Source organism: Homo sapiens, chromosome 1 (genome assembly GCF_000001405.40).
Source record: "Homo sapiens chromosome 1, GRCh38.p14 Primary Assembly".
NCBI lineage: Eukaryota > Metazoa > Chordata > Mammalia > Primates > Hominidae > Homo > Homo sapiens.
In genome coordinates this window covers 169,012,508-169,036,998 of record NC_000001.11, presented here as the reverse complement: position 1 = coordinate 169,036,998, position 24,491 = coordinate 169,012,508, and the positions used below count along the sequence as shown (strand labels likewise).

General features: G+C 42.3%; 1 long non-coding RNA gene across 1 annotated transcript in view, besides 3 other annotated features; it reads left to right on the top strand.

Annotated features, from left to right (window-relative positions):
* LINC00970 (long intergenic non-protein coding RNA 970) overlaps positions 1-24,491 on the top strand; it is a 183,101-nt gene that overhangs the window by 50,007 nt on the left and 108,603 nt on the right. The window lies entirely within an intron of this gene.
* Positions 12,007-12,066: an enhancer, noted in NCBI's record as "active region_2066". NCBI's record gives its function as "activates an Ori minimal core promoter by ATAC-STARR-seq in GM12878 lymphoblastoid cells {active_cell/tissue: GM12878}" and the evidence as "EXISTENCE:reporter gene assay evidence [ECO:0000049][PMID:35858748]".
* Positions 24,192-24,301: an enhancer, noted in NCBI's record as "active region_2065". NCBI's record gives its function as "activates an Ori minimal core promoter by ATAC-STARR-seq in GM12878 lymphoblastoid cells {active_cell/tissue: GM12878}" and the evidence as "EXISTENCE:reporter gene assay evidence [ECO:0000049][PMID:35858748]".
* Positions 24,412-24,481: an enhancer, noted in NCBI's record as "active region_2064". NCBI's record gives its function as "activates an Ori minimal core promoter by ATAC-STARR-seq in GM12878 lymphoblastoid cells {active_cell/tissue: GM12878}" and the evidence as "EXISTENCE:reporter gene assay evidence [ECO:0000049][PMID:35858748]".

Here is a 24,491-nt window from a genome sequence, read left to right as displayed (position 1 = left end):
AAGATATCTGTTTGACTTTTTATTATTTCAATCTCTTAGTTAAATTTCTCTGATAAATTTCTGAATTGCTTTTCTGCATTTTCTTGGAGATCATTGAGTTTCCTTAGACCTGCTACTTTGAATTCTTGTTCAGAGAGCTCACAAATTGCCATCTCATTAGGGTTAGCCATTGAATTTTTGTTTTTTCCTTTAGAGGATGTCATGGTGCCCTGTTTGTTGTTGTTCCTTATGGGTATACATCTTTGTGTTTGCATTGAAAGGTTTAGTTACTTATTCCAGTTTTCTCTGTCTGGGCTGTATTGGTTTTTATTGCATATTTTGCTTAGCAAATCTTTACCATTAGGTCAGATTTCAGCTCTAGTTGATGTCTTAACTCCAAGCTTATCTTGGCTCAAGTAAATGATTAGAGCACTATTCTTCCCGAATTGGGACAATCCAAATGGGGATATCCCAGCATTGTGGCAAGACTGGCTAGGGGTTAGTGCCCAGGAGACCTATAAGATGAATCTTCTACAGCACTGTGCTGCTGAACAGTCACTCTGATTTGGCTTTTCCTTTGGCTGAGTTACACAGTAGAGTTTCCGGGGCTGGGGATGATAGTTCCACCTTCCCCCATTGTCTCTGCCTCTGATTGTCCTCAGGGATATTTATTCCTTCAGGCACTAGCAATGCTTCCCGTGGGTTAAAGCAGGTACGGGTCTCCTGCCAGGGAACCCAAGACGGTGAGGAGGCTGGTTATTCACCTTGATCTCACTTTTTTACAGTGTAGAAACAGTGAGTTGGTAGAGAATTTTCTGTGTGCTTGATGGTAGAATTGGGAATAGAATGGGAGGAATGGCATCATGAATGTGGAAGTCTGATTCTCTTACTGTCTGCTCAGAGTTTTTTCCACTTCTCTGTGGCCCTGGGAACTGTCTCTTCTTCATATTTGAGTTCGGGGATATTTCTAGTGATACTCTTAGTGCTGTATATTTGTTTTTGGTTTTCTGTGGGGATGAGTAAAGCCAGCTTGCTTCTTTGCTGCCATTTTTGGAACCAGAGTTCAGTGCCAATATTCACTTAGAAAATTATTTACTAATAAATGTGACATAATTTATTCATTAGTGGCAAATGTGTATTTTGTGTTTTTGTCAGTAGCAGTTAATTTTGGGAGGAAAAGCTCCTTCGGAAACTTAGATGTTCAAATGAATGTGGATACTACTATTTAAGGTATAGAAGCTTGCCTGTAGTTTACTAGCTAGCTTCTCAAGCTGTGATTTTAAATCTTTTTCTATTAAGCCATGGATTTTTTTTCAAATAATATTATACACAGAATCCCAACATAGATCAGATAAATCAGAGAAGCGGTGGTCCTTCCTGAGGAGTACCCACAGGCCTATGGCCACAGTTTACTTTTTGAAAAATTAGTTACCTCACAAAAAAATATGTAAAGAAGTAAAAATAAAGAAAAATCATTGACTTTGACAAACAGGTTAAACTATCTGCTAAAATAGCTCTGGATTCTTAGTTTCTACTTTCCACTATTTATGCCCACATAATTATGTGAGCCCAGGTCCTTGAAAAACCAGGTCTCTGAGAAACAAAAAAAGAAATTGAACCTGATATGCTGTACCGCATCTCTTTAATTCATTTCAACATTCCTAATTTGTCAGTCTCAATGAAACAACATAGTGTCCATTAGCCAAAGTCAGAGGTAGGGAAATTTGAGACTTTAAAATAAACCTCACTCCCATTAGGCCACTTTTTGTTTTCATGGGGAATGCAGCTCTCTTCACTGCCAATCTGGGTACTTCCGCATAAAAGGGCTGGGAGGCTCTGCCTTAGGTCACTCTAGAGCCAGGGGTTCATGTTCAGAATCCACAACCAGTGGTCTTTCCACTGCGCAACATCATTTCTTGGTCAATGGTTGATGGCTGCTCCATCATAGAGGGCCTTCCTCTTCTCCTCAGCCTGGCCAAAATAGTTTGATTTTTCATTTCAGACTCAAATCTAGTTTCATTTCTCTCAGAAGCCACCCTTGGTTGCCTCTTTGCCTATGATTTTTTTGTTCTTTGATGTTAGAACTGACACTTGAATACCTTTTCCTATTTATCTACCTCATTCCTTATGGGCTATACTGTATCTCAGCATAATTTTTCTGGTTACATGCTAGATTTTTATGTTTGTATTATATTTTGATGTTGAAAACAATGTGGTAGTGAATATCATGATACTTTTCTCTTGGCACATTTGTCTCAATAGATGGGTTAATTCCTACTACTAAAGCTGCTTGGTTAAAAGGCATACACATTACATGTTTTTGATAGCTATTACTAATTATGTGAGTGTGACTTTCTGCACACCCTCACCAACATTGGGTATCATAAATATTTATGTAGAATTTATTTGGTTTACATGTGTTAGGTTAAGTATATAGTTAGTGAGACACTTAATAAATGTATGTGTGCCTGCTATAGACTGAATGCTTGTGTCCCCTCTAAAATTCATATGCTAAAATTTAATCCCCAATGTGATGGTATTCAGAGGCAGGGCCTTTGAGAGGTGATTAGATGATGAGGGTAGAGCCCTCACCCTCATGGGATTAGTGCTCTTATAAAAGAGACCCCAGCTAGATCCCTTTCCCCTTCTCCCATGTGAGGACACAATGAGAAGGTGCCATCTATGAATGAAGAAGCAAGCCCTCACCAGACACAGAAACTGCTGGAGTCTTGATCTTGAACTTCCCAGGCTCCAGAACTGTGAGAAATAAATTGATGTCGTTTAGAAGCCACCCAGTCTATGGTATTCTATTACGGCAGCCCAAACTGACTAAGACAGCACCCTTTCCTTTTTTCTCTAGAGAAAGGACTTTCTAGGTGGGGTGACATTGAACAAGAGTCATCTATCTGAGTCTCAGTTTCCTTATTTGAAAAATGGGATTAAGAATACCTCCTCATCAAGTCGTTTTAAGGATTAAATAACACAATGTAAATAAAGAACCTATCCCAATGTTTGGTAATGCCCAATAAATGGCAGGAACCTTCTCTTTGTGTTCACTGCAGTGCTTGGTACATATGGCATTCAATGAAAACAAAGTGAGGAAAATTAGTGTATGACTGTCCTACCTAACATCTGCTGAATATTGACCACATCTGGTCACAATTCTAAGTTTTTAAGAATTGGCTCATTTAATGCTTGCCACCACACAGTGGTGGGTGCTATTATTATCCCTATTTTATAGAAACATAAAGTTACAAGCTAGTTAGCAGTTGATCCAGGAATCTAGAACTTGGGATCATAAATACTCCACCTTTTGGAAATGAGTAGCTGCACAACAAGTTGCCTGCCTCTTGTCTGTCGTGGGCTGACATGTTTCCTCTAGAGCGGCCATCTTGAGAAGGCTGGTCAGCTTCCTCAGGCCAGCCTTTACCGTTCCTCCCCTGGGCGTGATATTACGTTTACAAGCAACACCTGTTGTGGTTCAACAACAACACTGTAATTAAAGAGAACAGCCAGAGGAAAACAAAGAAGATGTTTTCTTCAACAAAGTTAAAAAAAATTACAATTACTTACTTTATTTGTCTGAAGATTGATTTGATATCTACTGGGTACTGTAGAAAGCCCCTCACATTAAAATAAAGCCCTATATGGATCTCCAACAGCCAGCATTTTACATGAGGCCTTTATCAGTGTGCCTTGAATAAGTCATGGGCTTGTATGTTTTCAGGTGAGTATTTAAAATGTATTTTTTATTTTATTTTATTATTTTTTTGAGACCGGGTCTCACTCTGTCACCCAGGCTGGAGTGCAGTGCCACTATCTTGGCTCACTCCAACCTCCACTTCCTGGGTTCAAGTGATTCTCCCACCTCAGCTTTCCGGGTAGTTGGGACCACAGGTGCCTGCCACCACACCCGGCTAATTTTTATATTTTTAGTAGAGACAGGGTTTTGCCATGTTGCCCAGGCTGGTCTTGAACTCCCGGGCCCAAGAGATCTGCCCACTTTGGCCTCCCAAAGTACTGGAATTACAGGCGTGAGCCACTATGGCTGGCCTGAAATAGGATTTCAAAATAAGTATAAATACTCATTTTGCAGCTTTACTTTTTATAATTTCTATGCAGATGCCAGCAGGGGAGGACTGTAGTAAGAGTTGTGCACTTTAATTTTGAAATAGAGAATATCCTCCAAAGTCCAAGGATATAGGTAATTTTATTTTAAATACAAATGCCTAACTTTTAATAAAGTAGGGGTGACAGATGGTGGTGATCTTATTCTCAATTTACAAATAAACGAGGCTGCAAGCATCAGGCAACAGGTTTGAACTTTTGTTGTGCTGTTAGGGCAAATGGAGGCAGGTCTGTGGAGGTGCATCCTTGGGCTTTCAAAAGGGGCCCTGCTCTGTGCATTTAAGAAAGATCAGATATAATCACACACAGAAAAAAAATCTGGAAGGATATATAGCACAGCGTTAACTCTATGTGGTGGGATTAGAAAATTTTATATTTTAAAAGTACCTTTCTGAGTTGCCTGAGTTTTGTTTTAATTGAGAATTTATTCCTTTTATAATCAGAAAAATTAAGAGAAATTAATGAGGAAATACAAAGGCTGGGCAGGGTGGCTCACACCTGTAATCCCAGCACTTTGGGAGGCTGAGGCAGGTGGCTCAATTGAGCTCACAAGTTCAAGACCAGCTTGGGCAACATGGCGAAACCCTGTCTCTACAAAATATATATATATTATATATATATATTAGCCAGGCATGGTGTTGTGTTCCTGTTGTCCCTGCTACTTGGGAGCTTGAGGTGGGAGGAGCCAGGGAGGTCCAGGCTACAGTGTGCTGAGATGGTGCCACTGCACTGGGTGATACAGCCAGATCTTGTTGGAAGAAAGAAAGAGAGAGAGAGAGAGAGAGAGAGAGAGAAAGAAGAAGAAGGAGAAGGAGAAGGAGAAGAAGAAGAAGAAAGAAGGAGAAGAAGAAGAAGGAAGAAGAAGGAAGGAAGGAAAGAAAGAAAAAGAAAGAAAGAGAGAAAGAAAAAGAAAGAAACAAGAAAGAAAGAAAAAAGAAAAGAAATAATGAAAACTATGGAAAGCAAAGAAAGGAGGCTGCGCCTTCTTGGTCCAGAGGTAAACGAATCTTGGCTGGATTCCTTCCCTCCTGGCAGTCCTTCCAGATCTCTTCTCAGATTAGCCTGCAGATTTGTGTTCTTCCTCTCACTGCACTAAGATGTGGCGTCTTGTGCTTCAGCTTCATTCCGTGAACTCACAGCAGCCCTGGAGTTTCACTCCAGGAGAGTTCCAGCCCAGAGCCCTCTGCTATCTGACCTATCTCCTGTACTCAGCATGATTCCTCAAATGAATTCCAGACCTTGAGTTACAGAAAAGGAGGGCTTTAGAATCGGATGGCCACATGAACAATGTTTAATCAGTCTTAATTTTGGTTTCCTTATCTCTAGAGTGTAGAAAATCATACTACCCATTTTTTTTGTTTGTTGTAGGTGTCAGAGAAAATATATGTAGAGCGTTTACCAAAGTCCTCGGCCTTTGCTCATTCAACAATACCCATTAATTGTACATCTATTTATTTGCCAAGCATTCCTCTGGGAACTGATGATACACAGAATAAATATATTTTTAAAGAGAAATATGTATTTTTCAGCTTCTTATTTTAGTATAGAACATCCTTTACTTAATGACCTTTCAACTTATAATTTTCTCAGATGACAAAGCTATGCCCCAAAGCTAAAGCATATTAACTCTGCCCCCACCAACAAGTGGTATTAGTAGTCACCTTAGGTCATTTTAGAGTTGTCCTCATTCATAGTCTAAGGTAAGTTTGCTGAGTTTTGCTTTTTTTGAAAAGCAAAGTAAGACAAAAAGAATAAGCTAAAAAAACTGTCATATTTAATATATTTTGATATTACAGGCATTTCAGTTTATTGAAAAGATACTCTCATTGTCTAGATATCAGGATCCTAACTAAAAGAGATTTATGAAAATATCTATAATTGCATAAGACCTAGCTTGTTACAAATTTTTTATGTAGTAAAGAAAGACAAAATAAGAACATATTTTTAAGAGAATTGAAATAAAAAAGAAGAGTTGAAACTAATGCCATCAACTTCTGACTCCAGGATTGGACTCAGGATCAATGTACAACTTAGGCCTGAGAGAAGATCAGGCTCACTGAATTGTGATTACACTTAGTATAGGTCATCACAGAAGCCGTTTGACCTAGATGATTTTGTTTCCTTATTCTCCAGATTTTATCTTTATGTTTATATTTTGGGAATAACTAACTTGTTGCCTTATATTCTTATATAAACAGTTAGTTTTAAAAAAAATATTGAAATTTTTATTTATTTCTTAATTGACAAATAAAAATGGCATCCATATATTTTTGGGGTAATACATGACGTTTTGATATATGTACGCATTGTGAAATGGTTCAGTCAAGCTATTTAACATATCCATCACCTCACATACTTATTGTTTTGTGTTGAAAACACTTAAAATCTACTCTATTAGCAACTTTCCCGTATATACTATATTGTTTTTAACTATAGTCACCATGGTGCCCAGTAGATCTCTTGAACTTATTTCTTCTATCTAACTGAAATTCTGTATCCCTTGGCCAACATCTCCCCAATTCCACAGCCCCCTACCTCTGGTAACCACCATTTTACCCTCTGCTCCTTTGAGTTCAACTTTTTTAGGTTCTACATATAGGTGAGATCATGTAGCATTTGTCTTTCTGTACCTGGCTTATTTCACTTAACATAAATAATTCTGAAACTTTTATTAAAAATGTTAAAGTCAGTATTAATCACCAGACTTAAGAATAATATGTGTAATAATATAACTAATAGAGGATGACTTGCTTAAGGAAATTACACTTAGCTATAATTAAGTGCTTGCCCTACAAATCCTTCATCTAATGATTCTAAATTATTTTTCTTTCTTTTTTCTTTAATGTAAGCCATCGATTTTAGAAACTTTTGGGGACATTGCTGGTGATAAATCCATCATGGCTCAAACTAGTTTCATTACAAACTAAGAGTTATAATGGTGGTGACCTTGTTGCACTGTGAAAATGATCTACTATCTCCTCTTTCCCTTGTGTCTCTGTGGAAGAGATGTCCCTTTTCCAGTCCCTGGGTACAGACCCTCTCTCTTCCCATGTTTGCTGGATGCTGCCTCATGATTTATCCTGTCTTTCCAGATTGTCTTTTTCTCCTTTTCTAGTGGTTCTACTACCCTGGTTTCAGGAAGGCTCATCTCTATTCTACGACAAGCGACCTGAGAGAAGGGGCTGTGGGCTATTTATTTTTGCATCTCCAAACCTACCTAGCACGCTGTAGGGGGTGAAAATACAATTATTTTTAGAATTAATATGTGATTATAAGGATAACTTTGATTTATTTTTCTTCTTAATCTGACTTAGTGAATGGAAACAAGTTAACCTTAGCCAGAGTTCGGCTACGCATTCACTGAGTGCTTAAGTCCCTTTATTGTGGTAGCTGTGACTTGGTTTTAGCTCCTGTGCTACCAGAGGGATGATTGTGCAGGGAAGAGGTGGGAAGAGATGAGTAGAATGCTTTTTTGGGTCATTTTTGTGCCTAACTTATCTCCCGGAGACAGAAGCAGAAAGAGAAGTACCGTAGTATCTCTGTGTTAACGCACAAAACCCCATCATCTCTTATCAGTCACGAATCTCTCTACCAGTTCAGCTTTCTAGGCCCTTCATTAACACTCACCATCCCACAGTCCTCCCTGCAATATGGTTTTCCTGAAAGGGGAGTCCTGACAATAGTCCATGCAACCCTATGCAGTCTACAAGTTGCTTCTGAGAAGAACTTGGAGTTACAAAATCTCAGCACGTAGCAGGCTTTGTTTCTTGGGACAGTCAGTATCTCCTCCAGAACAAGCCATTTTAGGCTAACCAGAAAACAGATCTTTCTTTCTTTCTTTCCTTCCTTTTCTTTCTTTCTTTCTTTCTTTCTTTCTTTCTTTCTTTCTTTCTTTCTTTCTTTCTTTCTTTCTTTCTTTCTTTCTCTTTCTTTCTTTCTCTCTCTCTCTCTCTTTCTTTCTTTCTTTCTTTCTTTCTTTCTTTCTTTCTTTCTTTCTTTCTTTCTTTCTTTCTTTCTTTCTTTCTTGTCTTTCTTGCTGTCTTTCTTTCATCTCACTCTGTCACCCAGGCTGGAGTGCAGTGGCGCAATCTCAGCTCACTGCAACCTCCGCCTCCCAGGTTCAAGTGATGCTCCTGCTTCTGCCTCCCAAGCAGCTGGGATTACAGACGTGCGCCCCCACGCTTGGCTAATTTTTGTATTTTTAGTATAGACGAGGTTTCACCATGTTGGCCAGGTTGGTCTCGAACTCCTGACCTCAAGTGATCCACCTGCCTCAGCCTCCCAAAGTGCTGGGATTACAGGCATGAGCCACCGCCCCCAGCCAGAAAACAGATTTTCTAAAAGTGCTATTTAAGGTATTGTACATAAAATCACACATGTGTCATGAGCTGCAAAAGTGATCACCTCTGACCAAGAGAAGTGAGAAAAGAAAAGCTCAAACATGAGCCCTGAGTCTGGGAAGCCAGAATGGGAATTGTGTTTGGTTCACTGGAGAGAGGGAAAAAGAAAATAATCTTATCTGTCTCCAACAGTCCTGTCTCTCCTCAAGGCCATGCAAGTACAGATAATTCTTTTGAGCCAGTAGAACTACAGAGCCCTACGCACTCTTTTGGCTCCACAGTGGTCTGGCTGAGGCCGTCCCCCCAGTCTACTCCCCCAGCCGCATGCTTTTAAGCATGAGTGACCAGTGGGCCGGAGGTGCAGTGGTGCTGAGATTTGCAGAATATGGTGACATGCCAGTGATAATCGAAGGAAAGGACAATGTGTAGCTGAGAAACACTGACATCTGAGAAGTGTTCTACTCCAGTGACTCCCTAAATTGGTGGTTGATTGCAGTTATTCATAGCAGCACTAATTTCTTTTCTTGCCCTCTCTCCTTCTCTCTGGCCAAACAGTTTTAAAACAACATCAAAGGAATGAAAGAAAAATGCCAGAGAGCATCAACTTGAATCTCTCCACTCTAGCATGCCTAAATTTATTTCGTTTTATGTTTTTGTGTGTTCTAATCTTTTAATCTGTACAACAGATTAGTTAATGATATAAAAGGGAGCAGAATCCTTTATATAAATTTTCCAATTCAGCCAAGGTCAAGGAGATATTTTCATGCGGGTAGGGAAGTTCTGGCAATGTAGTGATGGTGTTTGTGACCTTGGCAAAGTGACCTCATCTCCATGTGCCTTGTCTGGAGTGGCTGAGCTCCGCCTTGGCCTGCAGAAAGGAATGGCCCCAACATATCTGTGGGAGTGTTGATACTAATAGTTAACTGGATACACTCTACTTTTGCTTTGTAGTGGTTAATATTTCCCCAAACTTTTCTTTCTTTAAAAAAATTCAGACCTACAGAAAAGTTACAAGAATAGCACAATGATGTTCATTTACCCTTTATCTAGATTTACTAATTGTTAACATTTTACCACATTTGCTTTTTCTCTTTCTCTCCACACACTTGCATGTTCACACAAATATTTTTTTGATAAGCCATTTAAGAATTCATTTCACAGAGAATTCAATTACTGTTACCTAAATATCTTAACACATGTCTTCTAAGAACAAGGACATTCTCCAACATAGCAACAATACAAGTATCACATTCAGGAAATCTAACATTGAAAACATAATATTATTTGATGTATAGGCCAAATTCTGATGTCTCCCAATTGTTCCAACAGTAATATTTTTAAAAATGTTTTTTCTTATTTTTCAATCCAGGATAGAATCAATAATCATTCATTCCATTAGCTGTTCTATTTGTTTAGTTTTTACAAATCTAGAACAAGGCATGGCGCCGTGGCTCATGCTTGTAATCCCAGTACTTTGGGAGGCCGAGGCGGGCGGATCACGAGGTCAAGAGATCAAGATCATCCTGGCCAATATGGTGAAACCCCATCTCTACCAAAAATACAAAAATCAGCCAGGCGTGGTGGCGGGCACCTGTAGTCCCAGCTACTCGGCAGCCTGAGGCAGGAGAATCGCTTGAATCCGGGAGGCGGAGGTCGCAGTGAAAGGAGATTGTGCCACTGCCCTCCAGCCTGGCAACAGAGCAAGATTCTGTCTCAAAAAAAAAAAAAAAAAAAAAATCTGGAATAGTCCTGAGCCCCTCTTTAAAAACAAATTTCTTATCTCCGTAACTTTTTTTTTTTTAATCTTTTGCAATTGAGTCTCGCTCTGTCACCCAGGCTGGAATGCAGTGGCCTGATCTTGGCTCACTGCAACCTCCACTTCCTTGGTTCAAGTGATTCTTCTGCCTCAGCCTCCTGACTAGATGGGACTACAGGTGCACGCCATCATGACCGGCTAATTTCTATAGTTTTAGTAGAGACAGGATTTCATCATGTTGGCCAGGCTGGCCTCGAACTCCTGACTTCAGATGATCCACCTGCCTCAGCCTCCTGAAGTGCTGGGTTTACAGGTGTGAGCCACTGTGCCCAGCCTCACCTTGACATTTTTGAAGAGTTCAAGCCACTCTTGAACTGTTTTGTAAAATGTCCCTCAATATAGATTAATCGAAGTGTTTCCTCATTCTTGGATTCCAATTAAACATTTGGGGCAGGAATACTGCATATATGACACTGTGCCCCTCTCCATGCATCACCACAGCAGGCACAACATAGCACAGAGTTACAACACTGATGTTCACTTTGATCACATAGTGAGGTCGGTTCCACCAGATTTCTCCATTTGGAGATACCTTTTATTCACTCCTTTTTAAAGTTAATAAGCAACTTGTGGAGTAGTTTTGTTTTTTTGTTGTTGTGTGTTTGTTTTGTTTTTTTGGGTTTTTTTTGAGACGGAGTCTTGCTCTGTTTCCCAGGCTGGAGTGCAATGGTGCTATCTCGGCTCACTGCAATCTCTGCCTCCCGGGTTCAAGCGATTCTCCTGCCTCAGCTTCCCGAGTAGCTGGGACTACAGGCACGCACCACCACACCCAGCTAATTTTTGTATTTTTAGTAGAGATGGGGTTTCACCATGTTGACCAGGCTGGCCAGGCATGGTGGCTCACGCCTGTAATCCCAGCACTTTGAGAGGCTGAGGTGGACAGATCACTTGAGGTCAGGAGTTGGAGTAGTATTTTAAGATTGTTCACTGCTGGTGGTTTCTTGTATGCTCATTTTTGCTATTGCAGCAAATATTTTATTTCATTTAAGATTTCATTCATAACAATTATTTTTTTAAAATCTGACAATTCCGTAATTTGCAATTCTTGGGTGTCTAAATCTGTTGTCACTAGTGGTTTGACTTCTTGTGTGCTTGGTCATCTTCACTGGTTCATCACTTGAGCTTAAAGAGATGTGAGTCCTATGGGTCTGACTTGGTGACCCTTCCTCCAGAGAGGGCTTGACTTTGACTTCTGCCAGTAGAGGCACCACTTGCAACCCTCCTTGTAGCTTTTGACTTTGAATGAAAATGCCAGGTTCAGCTTCCCTGCCTCATTGTTCCTCCAGGATTCACTCTGTTTTCACTACAGAGAGGCAATTGGGAGCTTGCCTCCCTCTCTATTTAAAAATAGGACTTATAGGAATCTTAAGGTCACTGTTCCATAACAGCCTTACAGGGAGCCCAAGGTGGAGAAAGACTTAGCTCAGAGAGATTTGCAGCTGTGGCTGTTTGTCTAATGGGATAAATTATAAGTTAATATGCCAATAGTTCACAAAGTTTTTAAAAGAATCATATTAACTTGCACAGAAAGGAACAGAAACAGTACAAATGAAAGTCTGAGACCTTTGGACTCCCCCTTTATTACTATAGACAGGGAGCTGGTTGAGAAAACCACTCAGCTATAACTGGTGTTCCAGTTGATTGCCCCAGCTGAAGACCCAGCCAACAGTCAGTATTGACCACCAGACATGTGAGTGAGTCTTCGGAAGATTCCAATCTCCTGTTGTCAAGTCACCCCCAGGCTTCAAGTCTTCCCAGCTGACAGCTCAGATTGTACCACAAAGATAAGCTGTCCTTTTCTGAATTCCTGACCCACATATTATGTGGGTATAGTAAAAAAAAAAAATTGGTTTGTTTTTGTCTTAAGTGTTGAGTAGTTTGTATGACAGCAATAGGGACTGGAACATTGAATATAGTTTGCATCTCACAGGAACATATGAATGTTTTTTCTACAGTTATTCTTGTTATTTCCAGTGCCTCCAAATAGAAGACATTTTTGAAGGTAGATGTGAGAGATCCTTCCTCCTCCTCCTCTTCCTCCCCTCCCTCCCTCCCCCTTCCTTCCTTCCTTCGTTCCTTCCTTCCCTCTCTCTCTCCTTCCTTCCTTCCTCCTCCTCTTCTCCTTCCTTCCTTTCCTTCCTTCCTCCTCCTCTTCTCCTTCCTTCCTCCTCCTCTTCTCCTTCCTTCCTTTCCTTCCTTCCTCTCTCTTTCTTTCTCTTTTCCTTCCTTCCTTCCTTCATCTCTCTTTCTTTCTCTTTTCCTTCCTTCCTTCCTTCCCTCTCTCCTTCCTTCCTTCCTCCTCTTCTCCTTCCTTCCTTCCTTTCTCTCTCTCTTTCTTTCTCCCTCTCTCTTCCTTTCTTCCTTCCTTCCCTCTCTCTCTCCTTCCTTCCTTCCTTCCTTCTCCTCCTCCTCTCTCTCTCTCTCTTTCTTTCTTTCTTTCTTTTTTTGAGACAGGGTCTTACTCTGTCACCCAGGCTGGAGTGCAGTGGTGCAATCTTGGCTCACTGTAGCCTCAACCTCCCAGGCTCAGGTGATCCTCACACCTCAGCCTCCCAAGTAGTTGGGACCACAGGTGCATGTCACCATACTGAATTTTTGTATTTTTTGGTAGAAATGGGATTTTGCCATATTGCCCACGGTGGTCTCGAACTCCTGAGCTCAAGCAATCTGCCTGCCTTGGCCTCCCAAAGTACTGGGATTACAGGTGTGAGCCACCATGCCCAGCCAAAATCCTTCATTTTTAGTAAACTAGAAGTGAGGAATTAGGTGTTGAGGGAATGAGACCGAATGCCAGATATTGCCTGAAGAAAAAAAGTTCTTGAAAATGTAACACTGCTGGTAGAATGAATCTATGCCAAAGCCAGACTCAGAGTATATATCAAATACTGTGCTAAATATCAGGGTATGGTACAAATGGGAGGGAAGAGACTAAGAATATACAGCATTCATATTTCAGCTTTTTCTCCTGTGGCCAGCAGGCATATTTTCCACTTCAAGTTCTCAGGAAAGAATTTGTTTCTCCTACGTATTTACTATGGTCCCCCACTGGACAGAGTTTTCATATTAAGCCACTTGATGAACTTCTAGCTAACCGATGGATTGGGCTAATAGCTAACTCATGCCTATGGATCAGGCATCTGCTCCATTCTAATCTATGATAGAGATGATTGAAGCTGTTTTGGGCTCAATTGTATCCTGTCAAAATTTATATGCTGGAGCCCTAAATCCCAGTACTTCAGAATGTGACTGTATCTGGAGATATGGCCTTGAAAAATGTGATAAGGTTAAAGTGAGGTTGTGAGCATGGGTCCTAATCCATTCTGCCTGGTGTCCTTATAAGAAGAGAAAATGTGGATGCAAAAAGAGATAGCAGGGTACACAGAGGAAAGACAGTGTGAGAACACAGCAAGGCAATGGCCATCTGCAAGCCAAGCACAGAGACCTCAGGAGAAACCAGGCCTGCTGACACCTTGATCTTGGACTTCCAGCCTCCAGAGCTGTGAGAAATACATTTCTATTGTTTAAGCCCTGTAGTCTGTGGCATTTTGTTATGGCAGCCCCAGTGAACAAATACAGGAACACAGTGTGGCTGCTCATTTGGTCTAATTCCTTTTAAAAGGGGGCTCTGGGTGAAGCAGACACACAGCTTGTTCTATACCCAGATGTTTCCTTCAAACTATATAATCCATTTGTAGGAAAAAGACTAACAGATATAAAAACCAATATATGAAAATTAGGTATAAATTAAGCGCCACAATATAGGATACAGAAAATTATGTGACACAGTGTTTATGCTGTAAGAATTTGGAGAAGGGGGAGCTCAATGTGAATTATAGCAGTGAGGGTGAACCTTATGGAAATGATGGGATGCATCATCAACCTTTTTTGCTGAGTGGGATTTAAAGAGGTGTGAGGGAGGTAAAAGGGTACTTTGGATATGGGTGACTGGTGTGAGCAAAGCAAAGAGGGAGCACTAAGGGTGACACATGAAGGGTTGAAGAGTCAGTGTAGAAGTGGCAGACCAAATGTGTTGGGAACTACTGGGAGAAAGGATTGGGCATGCAGAGTAGATGGAGATTATAGGTGACCTTGGAAATCAGGCCAAGGACCTCTCATGGATTTTAGGATTGATCTGCAGGCAAAGGTTATCCCTTCAAGTATCCCAGGATTCACTAGCAACAATAATATTTATTTATTTATTTTTGAGACAGAGTCTCAGTCTGTGGCCCAGGCTGGAGTGCAGTGGCATGGTCTTGGCTCACTGCAACCTCCGCCTCCTGGGTTCAAGCAATTCTCTTGCCTCAGCCTCCTGAATAGCTGGTATTACAGGTGCACACCACCACACCTGGCTAATTTTTTTTTTTTTTTTTTTGGTATTTTTTAGTAGAGATGGGGTTTCGCCATGTTGGCCAGGCTGGTCTTGAACTCCTGATCTCAAGTGATCTGCCTGCCTAGGCCTCCTAAAATGCTTGGATTACAGGTGTGAGCTACCATGCCTGGCCATTTTGTTTCCTTTTGTTTTTTTTCAAGTTACGAGGTGACATGGGTATAATAATTCATTGAAAAAAATGTAGTATGAGAGATAAAATATTAGTAAAAGGGGTTTCTAATTATAAGAAGGAAAATCCAACCTGTGTGTGTGTGGGGAACAGAGAATTATTCATTCACTCAGCAAATATTTGCTGAATGCTTACTAAGGGCTGTGTATGGGACCTAGAGATTAGAGAGATGTTACTGGCTCTTGGGACTTTTGATGGACAGGGAGTTTTAGGTGGGCTGAACATCAAGGAGGGCATTCCAGAAGATTGAAGGTCCAATGGCAAAGGTACAGAGGGAAGAATAAATGAAGTGGAAGATTTATTCATGGGGCAGCTGGAAGTGATGCTGCAGAAGAGAAATGAGCTATTATAGGGTTAATGTTGGGCTTTACAAATAAGGCAGAGGAGTTAATCTAGTAAGTCCCCTTTCCCAAGGCAGAAATGTTAGCATCATAATTTAGAAGGTATCTGTCAGAAGATGATGGAATGAAAACCTTGGCATTCATGAAAAGGAATGAGATCATGTCCTTTGCAGGAACATGGATGGAGCTGGAGGCCATTATCCTTAGCAAACTGACATAGGAACAGAAAACCAAATACTGCATGTTCTCACTTATAAGTGGGAGCCAAATGGTGAGAACACATGGACACATAAGGGGGAAGAAAGACACTGGGGACTTTTGGAGGGTGAAGGGTAGGAGGAGGGAGAGGATCAAGAAAAATACCTAAAGGGTACTAGACTTAATACCTGGGTGATGAAAAAGCTGCACAACAAACCCCTATGACACAAGTTTCCCTATGTAGCACACCAGCATTTGTACTCTTTTTATTTTAAAATAAAAGTTTTAAAAAAACCTTGGCATTCTAAGAGTTAACTTATTTATATCAAACACACTACACTCACCAGCCCATAAGATAACCAAGCTATAACACACACTTGGTCATCTTCTCTTAAAAAAATACTTTAAAATACAAAATAGTCATCCTTGTAAGGAATTAGAAATACTTGAGGAAAATTGTAAAATACTATACATATAATTAAGCCTGTTGGCATTAACTTCAATTTAAAGGAGTTCATAAAAACAAAATCAGTTCTTACTTTTTTTTTATGTATTTATTAATTTTTTTTAGAGGCAAGATTTCACTCTGTCACCCAGACTGGAGTGCAGTGGCACAAACATAGCTCACTGAAGCCTCAAACTCCTGGGCTCAAGAGATCCTTCTGCTTCAGCCTCCTGAGTAGCTGGGACTTCAGGTATGTGTCAGAATGCCTGGCTAATTTAATTTTTATGTATTTATGTATTTATTTATTTATTTATTTATTTATTTATTTATTTTTTAAGAGATGGTGTCTCACTATGTTGCCCAAGTTAGTCTGGAACTCCTGACTTCAAGTGATCCTCTTGTCTTGGCCTCCCAACATGCTGGGATTACATGAGCCAGTATGCCTAGCCTTAATATTTCTTTTTTTAAAAAGGCACTTGTATTGTCTAACACCTATGGCTGGAGAATGAACATTTGGTCAAGTTTTGACCTCAGAATATAAGTGTCTATCTAGTTAGATCAAGATGGGCATCACATTTCAGGAGACTGGTGGGTTTCTTCTAGATGAAAAGGTCCTTGGAGACCCTCTATTCTAACTGTCTACATCCCAGAGGAGAGACTTGTCCATCAGAGAGCACCTGCCATCCTCCCAGATTCAGGCAGTTACCTGGAGAGCAGAATCGGGCCACTCCTGGAGCCCACCTGTTGCTTGCATAGTCCAAGACAGTTGAGTTCCAAACTCGAGCATTTAAAATATCAAATTCTGAGGAGATATCAAATTCTGAGGAGAATTTCCTCAGAGTTTCGTGTGCCACAAAGTGCCCTCCTGAGAATGGACATCAGTATTTCCCAAAACCTCCCCCAGAAGCTCCTGGGCTGGTTATTTTTAAAAAGTACAGATTTATAGGACCCCGCACATGCCTAAAGAATCAGAACCCTGGAACATGGACTAGAAATCTGTATTTTCACGAGCATGTGATTTTTATTTACACTCAAGTTTGATGACCACTAGCCTAGGACAAGTGCAGATTTTTGCAGTTGCCTCTGACAATTAGTCCTCTCCCTAACACCCTGCTGGGTCTCCCAGCTGACTCTCCTGTGGCCTTACTTTCTGTCCCTGACTCTTCATCTTTTGACTGCCTGAGCGTTTTTCCTCTTCCTCTTCTCTCCCCTTCTCTTTGCTGCTCTTTTGTGCTTTCATTATTTGTCTCTCTTTTCTTCTTTCTCTGTTTTTTATTTCCTCTTTCCCTTGCTCTCTGTCCCACCCAGCCCATTCCAAAGTGGTGCTGGGATATGCAGGAGGAGCCAAAGGCAATGAGTCGAGCCCAGGTGCTCAGAGAGCTGAGTTCTGATCAGAGAATGCAGTTCAGAACACACCTGGGGGGCTCAGAGACCCCGAAGCTAGACTGCAAGGATATGGAGAGCTCAGCTCAGAGGATGGATGGGGTGGTGGGGAGAGGGAAGGGTGCAGATTTATGACATGGGAAATTCCCTGAGGAAGCAGATCAAGGAGCCCAAGGCACTGGCAAAGCAGGGCAGGGAGCCCCATGAGCACCTGTCCCCTACCTTCCCTGTGACCTGGGTGTGGGTGAGCTAATAAGCTACTGGGAAGCAGGTGTACACTGTTGCATAGACACTCCCCCACACCTTCTCCTGAGCACTTACTCTGAGAAACTTTGTGTGTCCTCCATTTGGCAGACTTGAGACTTTTTAAGAAAACAGTTAATATATCTTACAGGTGAGGAATCTTAATCCTGCAGGAAGGGAGGCTTTCCCCAGATGTCCCTCACACAAAGATACAGAAGTCAGAATTCCCAGTGGGAACGTATCTTGGGCAAGATTGAGAAACAGTCAAAGCTTTGTCCAGTATAACCTAACAAGCTGGCATATCAGCATTTATACTTGGTGTCCGAGCATATGCATGTGTGCACTTACACTCTGGCACAGAGAAAGCACTCAGTGCATTTTCGGTATTATTTTTTATTATTAGGAAATCGTCTTGTATTTGCTGTATTGCCTGTATTTATCATGATTTCCCTTTAAGGTAGGTTATAGATTTGGCCTTTTGGATGTCTCACAAGGAGGTCTTTGTGGCAGAACACCTGGAAGGATGATTGCAGGCAATTTCTCCCTCCCCTGGAGAGCACAGATGCCACCCTGTTGGGTGCGGACTGGGTTCTTAGGAGGCCCAGGAAGTGCTGTTGCTTCTAAACCCTCTGTTTGGCGGTTTCCTGCACCTGTTGCAGGAGGTGTGGCACATTTCATAAGCTCCAGGGGGCAGGACGGCACCTGGGAGAGCTCCTGAAGGGTCCTCACCTGGGAGCTCTCATTTGCCCGGTACTCCCACCCCCAAACAGTGCTGTCTGTGAGAAGGTGCATCAGTGGATGGGTGTCATGGCACCTGAGGCCTGAACTTGGGGTGACTCTCCTTTCTTGTTGGTCTGAATAAGGCAGAAACCAACTCCATTTCCATATTTCCTTTCTTTGAATTCCCAGTATTCCCCTCACCCCAGATAGCTGTATTCTTTAAGACTGGGACAGCCCTGGGAGTAGGGGCTGCCCTGTTGTCCCTGCCCCACCTTCCAGGGCAGAGAATTTTACTAGACATTTCTTGCAGATGCTGTCTCTGAATTTGAGTCGGAGTTTCCTGACCCTTTGCAAGCTGCATTTTAGAATCAGAGGGTATGTGGCCTTAGCAAACCTTGAGACCCATCCTCTCCTTCTACCTTTCTCCACCACCACTCAGCATCACTCATCACCCCTTGTGCTTCCATCCTTGCTTGCTTTTCTTCATGCTCTCTTCTCCACTTGAAATATTCTTGTTCACTTTCTTTTCTGTTCATCTTCCAGTCAAGGCCCAGCTCAGAATAAATTTCAGAAGCTTTCCCTGTCTCCCTCTGCTCACTGCCCTCTCCATCCAAGCAGAAAGAACCTGCCTGTCTTCTGTGATCTGCTGCCATTGCACACACCCCTGTGACGTTCTCCTATTGCCTCATTAGATGTTTACACCTGTGCCTCCCCCAGGTAGGACTGGGGTGGGGTTGAATGAGAGCTCCATAGGTCTTTTAATGGTGTCCCCAAGGCCAGCCTCAGGGCTTCAACACAGTGAGCTCTCAGGAATGGCTGCATTTTATTCTGACTGTGTTTCCAGAATCCCAGTCCTCTCTCTCTCACTGACCCCGAAGATAAGCATTGGAAAGGGGAGCTTTGGGGAAATGAATCTGCCCTGTCATCTGCGTATAGAGCTAATCTTAAATCCCAACTGCCAAATGGATCCTGAGGTGTCAGAAACTCTCCCGAGATAAGGGGGCTTCTAGCAACCATCTGCATTCTGGACCCAGGTATGTTGTGTTTGTAATCTCATTCACTCACTCGTTCATTCTTCCATGCCTCCCCTGATCCCCTTCCTGAAGTAAGAGCCTTCTGTTGATGTCGATGAAAGAACCCTGTTTATTTTCTTCAACTGAGAGTCTAACACACTGTGCCCTGGGCAAGGTTGAGAATCAGCCAAAGCTTGTCTTCTTTGTCCAATATAATCTAATAAATGGGTGTGTAACCACTTGTACTTTGTGTACATGTGTGTGTGTGGGTGTGGGTGTGGGTGTGGACCTGATATTCTGGCACAGAGTGAGCACTCTCAAATATTAATCTACAATTATTTCTCTACTACTAATAGATCATGATCTATAATGACTCAATAATCTATAATAATAATAAATCTGTAATTATAATTATCTACAATTATTTATCTACTTGGTATTGTCTGTCTCACCCCTATTAGGATACAGACTCCTTGAGGTGACAGATTCATACTCTCAGGCCTTTTTACTCTTGTACCCTCGGCACCAAGTACAGTGCCTGGTCCAATATTTGTGGAATGAATAAATGAATGACCAGACTTTCATTTATTTGCACTATGTCTTTGTGTGTCAGACTTGGGGTTAGGGACAGGAGATACACAAGAAATAAGACATAGCTTTTATTTTTCAATAGCCTCATTTGCAAGTGGGGGAGGCAAGTTACAGTTACAGTGCACAGTGATAACTAAGGATATAGCAGAATACAGGGGTTACGAGAGGATGGAGGACCAGTTCAGACTAAGGAGGAGGTGGATGTCCGGGAAGTTTGATATTTGGGTTGAGTCCTGGAAGGGAGGAAAAGTTGGCCAGGCAAATGAGGTTGGCAAGGACATTCTAGGGAGATGAGGCCATGTGTACAAAAGCCCAGTGAGAATGGAAGATGAAAGGATGTGGGGCAGTAGCTGGAGCCTGGTGTGCAAGGGAGCCCCAGGACGAGCTGGCCCCTTGGCAGGGCAGTTGGCTGTCCCTGCATGGTCGAGTGCTGGGGCTTTACTTCCTCTGGCTCTGGGCCAGCATGCAGACTTCAAGGTGGGGAGCAGCCTGCCACAAGAAAGTAAAATGTTGCATCCCTCGATGACCCCAGTTCCTGGCTCCACATGTTTCTGTTTGCTTTATTCTGGGGAGGCAGAAGAGAGACAGGTTTGGGGTAATCCTGCCCAGTGACCTCTGGGTTGAGAAGTGTAGAGAGCACCAGGCTCTCTCTGTAGGGTGAAACGCTCTGAGAAAGCCATTTAGGGAAGGGCCATGGCTGCTGTTTTGAGAACTGTGCTGTTTGCAGCAGGAGTAGGAGAAAGGGAGAAGAAGGACACAGGAACTTTGGGAAGCACCCTTTCAAGACTCTGTGGGTCCCATAGCTAGTGCATTGTGAGGTTTGAGATGCCAGGGAGTCAGGGTGATAGCCAGCCTGGCTTTTCTCTGCCTCCTTTTCTTCCTACTTTCTTCCTTTAATTAATTCTTATAGAGTGTCTGTTGCATGCAGGGTAGTGTTCCAGTCACTGAATATTTGACATTGAGCAAAGCAGTCAAAGTCCATTGCTTTTTGGGAGAGGGGATCAGGGATGGCCTCACTGAAACAGGGACATTTGAGCAGAAACCTGAATGAATCAAGGGAGACCTGTGGGTCTCTGGGCAAAGTGTGCAACTGTTAAACAAAGGTGTTGCACTCTAAGCAGGTATCTGGTTTAGCAGGGAGAAGACGGCTGAAAATAATCTCCCACTCCACAAGTGACAGAGAAATCTAATAGAGTGGGGATAATATTTAGAGAAAATAATTGAGCATTTTTCTCTTTTTGCAATCCCTTGCCATCCTTGAACTTACCCTCTATTCATTTAGTAACCTGATTGTATCAGGTGAGATTTCAACAGTTGAGATTGTATCAGTTGAGGTGTCCACCTATTGACAGTAATGAGTTACATTCCTGGCTTTCGTATTCCAAAATAGATTGCTTTATTCTTATAATTTTCCTGTAAAGTAGGTATAATTACGTCCATTTCTGAGGTAGGAATCAGGGCTTAGATATTCTTAAACTTGAAGCAGAAACAGTTATCTTAAGAGCTGAGGTTTTGATTTGCAAGAGTCAAATCCCTTTTAATAATCTGTTTGAAACCAGCAGATAGAGAAATGCTGAGCCAGCAAAAGCCCTGCTCCCTCAGAGACCAGTTCAGGGTGGCTGGGTGGGGAGAGAGGAGAGTTAGTTAGATGGGAACAGGAGACCCCAGAGCCAAGTTCGGTGGCTGTGGAAGGGGCCTCTGAGTCTGGCCTCCCACTCTGGGATGAAACGACGTGAGGCGCTAGGAATCTGAGAGCCAAGGCCACCTTTTGCTGTAGGAGGTGGCCACCATGCCTCTGGAGGTGGAGTAGAGGGAGAGAGAGGGCTGTATGGGTCTTGGTAGCTGGGGAGATACAGCCCTTCTGAGTCTCCCTCCTCCTGTCTCGATGGCACATCAGGAGGAAGGGCCCAAATAATCTCCTGGGTGGTTAAGAAGGGCTCAAAGTTAACCAAGTGATGGGCTGTATACTTTGAAACCTGGATGAGGCAGAAACAGAGAGACCCAGATGCACCAAGGGCTAAAATCCAAGAGTCTTAGATTTTCCAGCAAGTGCTGGTGGGGACAGGTGTCCATGAATGAATGAGGGTAGCATGGATGGCTGCCAACAAGCAGAGGTCCCATGTGTCCCAGGCCATCATGCCATGCAGACCCCTAGAATGTAGATGCCACCTAAGGGTGAGGAAGATGGGGGAGCGGAATATGGAAATGATCATGTTTAAATTTGAAGTGACCAGTGTTTTTACCTCAGGGGACGTGATCAAGTTTCTGCCAATAGGCAGAATTGGTGCATAAAACAGAAGTTGAGTTACAGAAGAGTAAAGAAAGTTATTATCGTTATTATTTTGCACATTTGGATCATGTAACTTGCAAATTGAGTATTTTCAGCAGCCATACTAATGTTGATTAGGTAGCAAGCAGATATGCAAAGAGCTATCTGGGAGATTTTCCAGCTAAAAATCACAATTATCAGTTGAGTCTTATGAACCCAGAAAATGTGGTAAACTCTCCTCAAAAGAAAGACGTGAGAAATTCCTTAACTTAAAAGCCTGTGGTTCAAAGAAGGGCTGAGAAGTCTGTCTCCTCCTTGCCTTTCTAGAAATATTGCAGTTAGCATGGCATCTCATCTTACTCAAGCAGCCTGCCCAGTCTAGAGTCTTCGAAATTCTCGGCACAGGCTCCTGTGTGATGCTCTCTGGGAATGTTGACATTCTCAGGGGAATGTCTATGCCAGGGGTTTTGGAATAAGGCACAGGGGAAGTTTCTGGGCTAGAATGGAGTGTGGTCTGAGAGGCCAGGTAGGGTGTAAAAAAAGAGAATTTAGAATTAGGTTTTGGCTTTCCTGTTTCCTGGCTCTGTGACCTTTGTAAAGTTACTTTACCTTTCTAAGCTTCTGGTCAATCATCTTGAACATGGACATTATGCCTATTTTTATAGAGATACTATAAAAATAAAATGACGTAATATATTCGTTTGCCAGGGCTACCATAACAAAATACCACAGACTGGGTGGCTTCAGCAACAGAAATTTATATTCTCATAGTTCTGGGGGCTGGGAGCCCAAGAAACAAAGTGTTGGCAGGTGTGATGTCTTCTGAGGCCTCTCTCCTCAGGTTGCATAAGTCCACTTTCTCACTGTGTCCTCACATGGCTGCTCCTCGGACTGTGTGTTGTCTATGTCCTAATCTTATAAGGACACCAGTCATATTGGATTAGGGCCCACCCATATGGCTGCATTTTACTTAATTACTTCTTTAAAGGCCCCATCTCCAAATACAGTCACATTCCCAGTTACTGGGCATCAGAGCGTCCACGTACAGAGATGGAGGGCTCACAGTTCAGCCCATGGCAGGTAGCATATGAAAGGGCTCAGCACACACGAGGTGCTTAGTCAATGTTAGCTCCCCTCACCATTTCTTCAGGCTGTAGTATGAGATTCAAACTATTAATGACATTTACTCTAAAGCGATGTTCACCTCTTAGGCCGCCTGTGGGCAAGGGGCTTGGAGGCAACACAATGAACAAAGGAGATTTAATAGAGCCAGAATATTTAATTCTGCTGCCACTTTTGAGAAATTTGAACTTGTATCAAACTCATAATTTCTCTGATTCAGTTCTGACAATAATTAGCCAACAGGGTGAGTATCAAATTTATAACAAAGTAATAGATCCGAAAGTGCCAGCACATTACTTGACTTCTGTTAAATGCTTCATAAATATTTCTTTAGTTGGGCACAGAGGCCTTTGGTAAAGTACACAGTGTTAGATATATGTGAGATATTATGTTCACTTGCTCCTCTGGCCTCTAAGTTTTGTGAAGTGGAAATACCCACAGGTTATTAAAGACCCAATTTGCTGGCCCCTTTCATGCTGTCTCCTAGGTGACTAGTTCCCTAGGATGTGCAGGGCTGGGCGGCTCCACCTTAGGTGCCACCTGAAGAGAAATCTCCAGGTAGCTGTCGTTCTTCAAGGCCCTAAGGGAGAAACTGGAGTGGCTATTGCTGCTGTTTTTACCTCTGTTGTGCTGGAAATCAGTGAGAGAGCTGTGTGGAGCCTGGGAGGTCACCTCTCAGGCTTCCCAGTATCTTCTAAAAAGACACACAGAACCCTCCATCTCCCTAACTGATGCCTCTGGGAACCAAATGTGCTTTAGAAGCTTCTATGCATAATTGGGCCTCCTGAAGGCAGGGCCAGGGACTGTTTCCTCCTCAGATCACAGGTTCCTGCCATCATGTCTGACAAATGGTTAGTGCACAAGCAGTGTTTGATCAATGGATGCCGGATTTCCCTGTTCTTGGCCGAATTGCCTTTGAAAGTAGCAGGAGTCAGTCTCTCAGGCATTAATAGTTCCCAGAACCTTCTCCATCTCCCTGGAGATAATGTCTTGGAGAAGGCTTCTGTCAGCTGCCAGAACCCCACAGGAATGGGGAGGACTCCATGGAAGAGAAGAATTCCAGTCTGTGTGCTTCAGCAAGAAACTGTAAGGTAAGAGTTGACCTGTATTGCTCGGTCTTATTTTTTATGGAGCCAGCTTTTGTTTTTCATTTTTGTTTTCTATGTCCCTTGAGGCCTTACCTCTCCAAATGCTCTGGTTTATTGAAACCTAGAATATGAGTCAAATGACCTCTTTGGGTTCACAGGGGATTGCCTTCATGCTGTTGATGAGACACTTGTGTGGGAAATGAATCTTCAATTCACTTCTCCTGCTTCGAAAGACTGGCATGGAAATTTAGTAGAC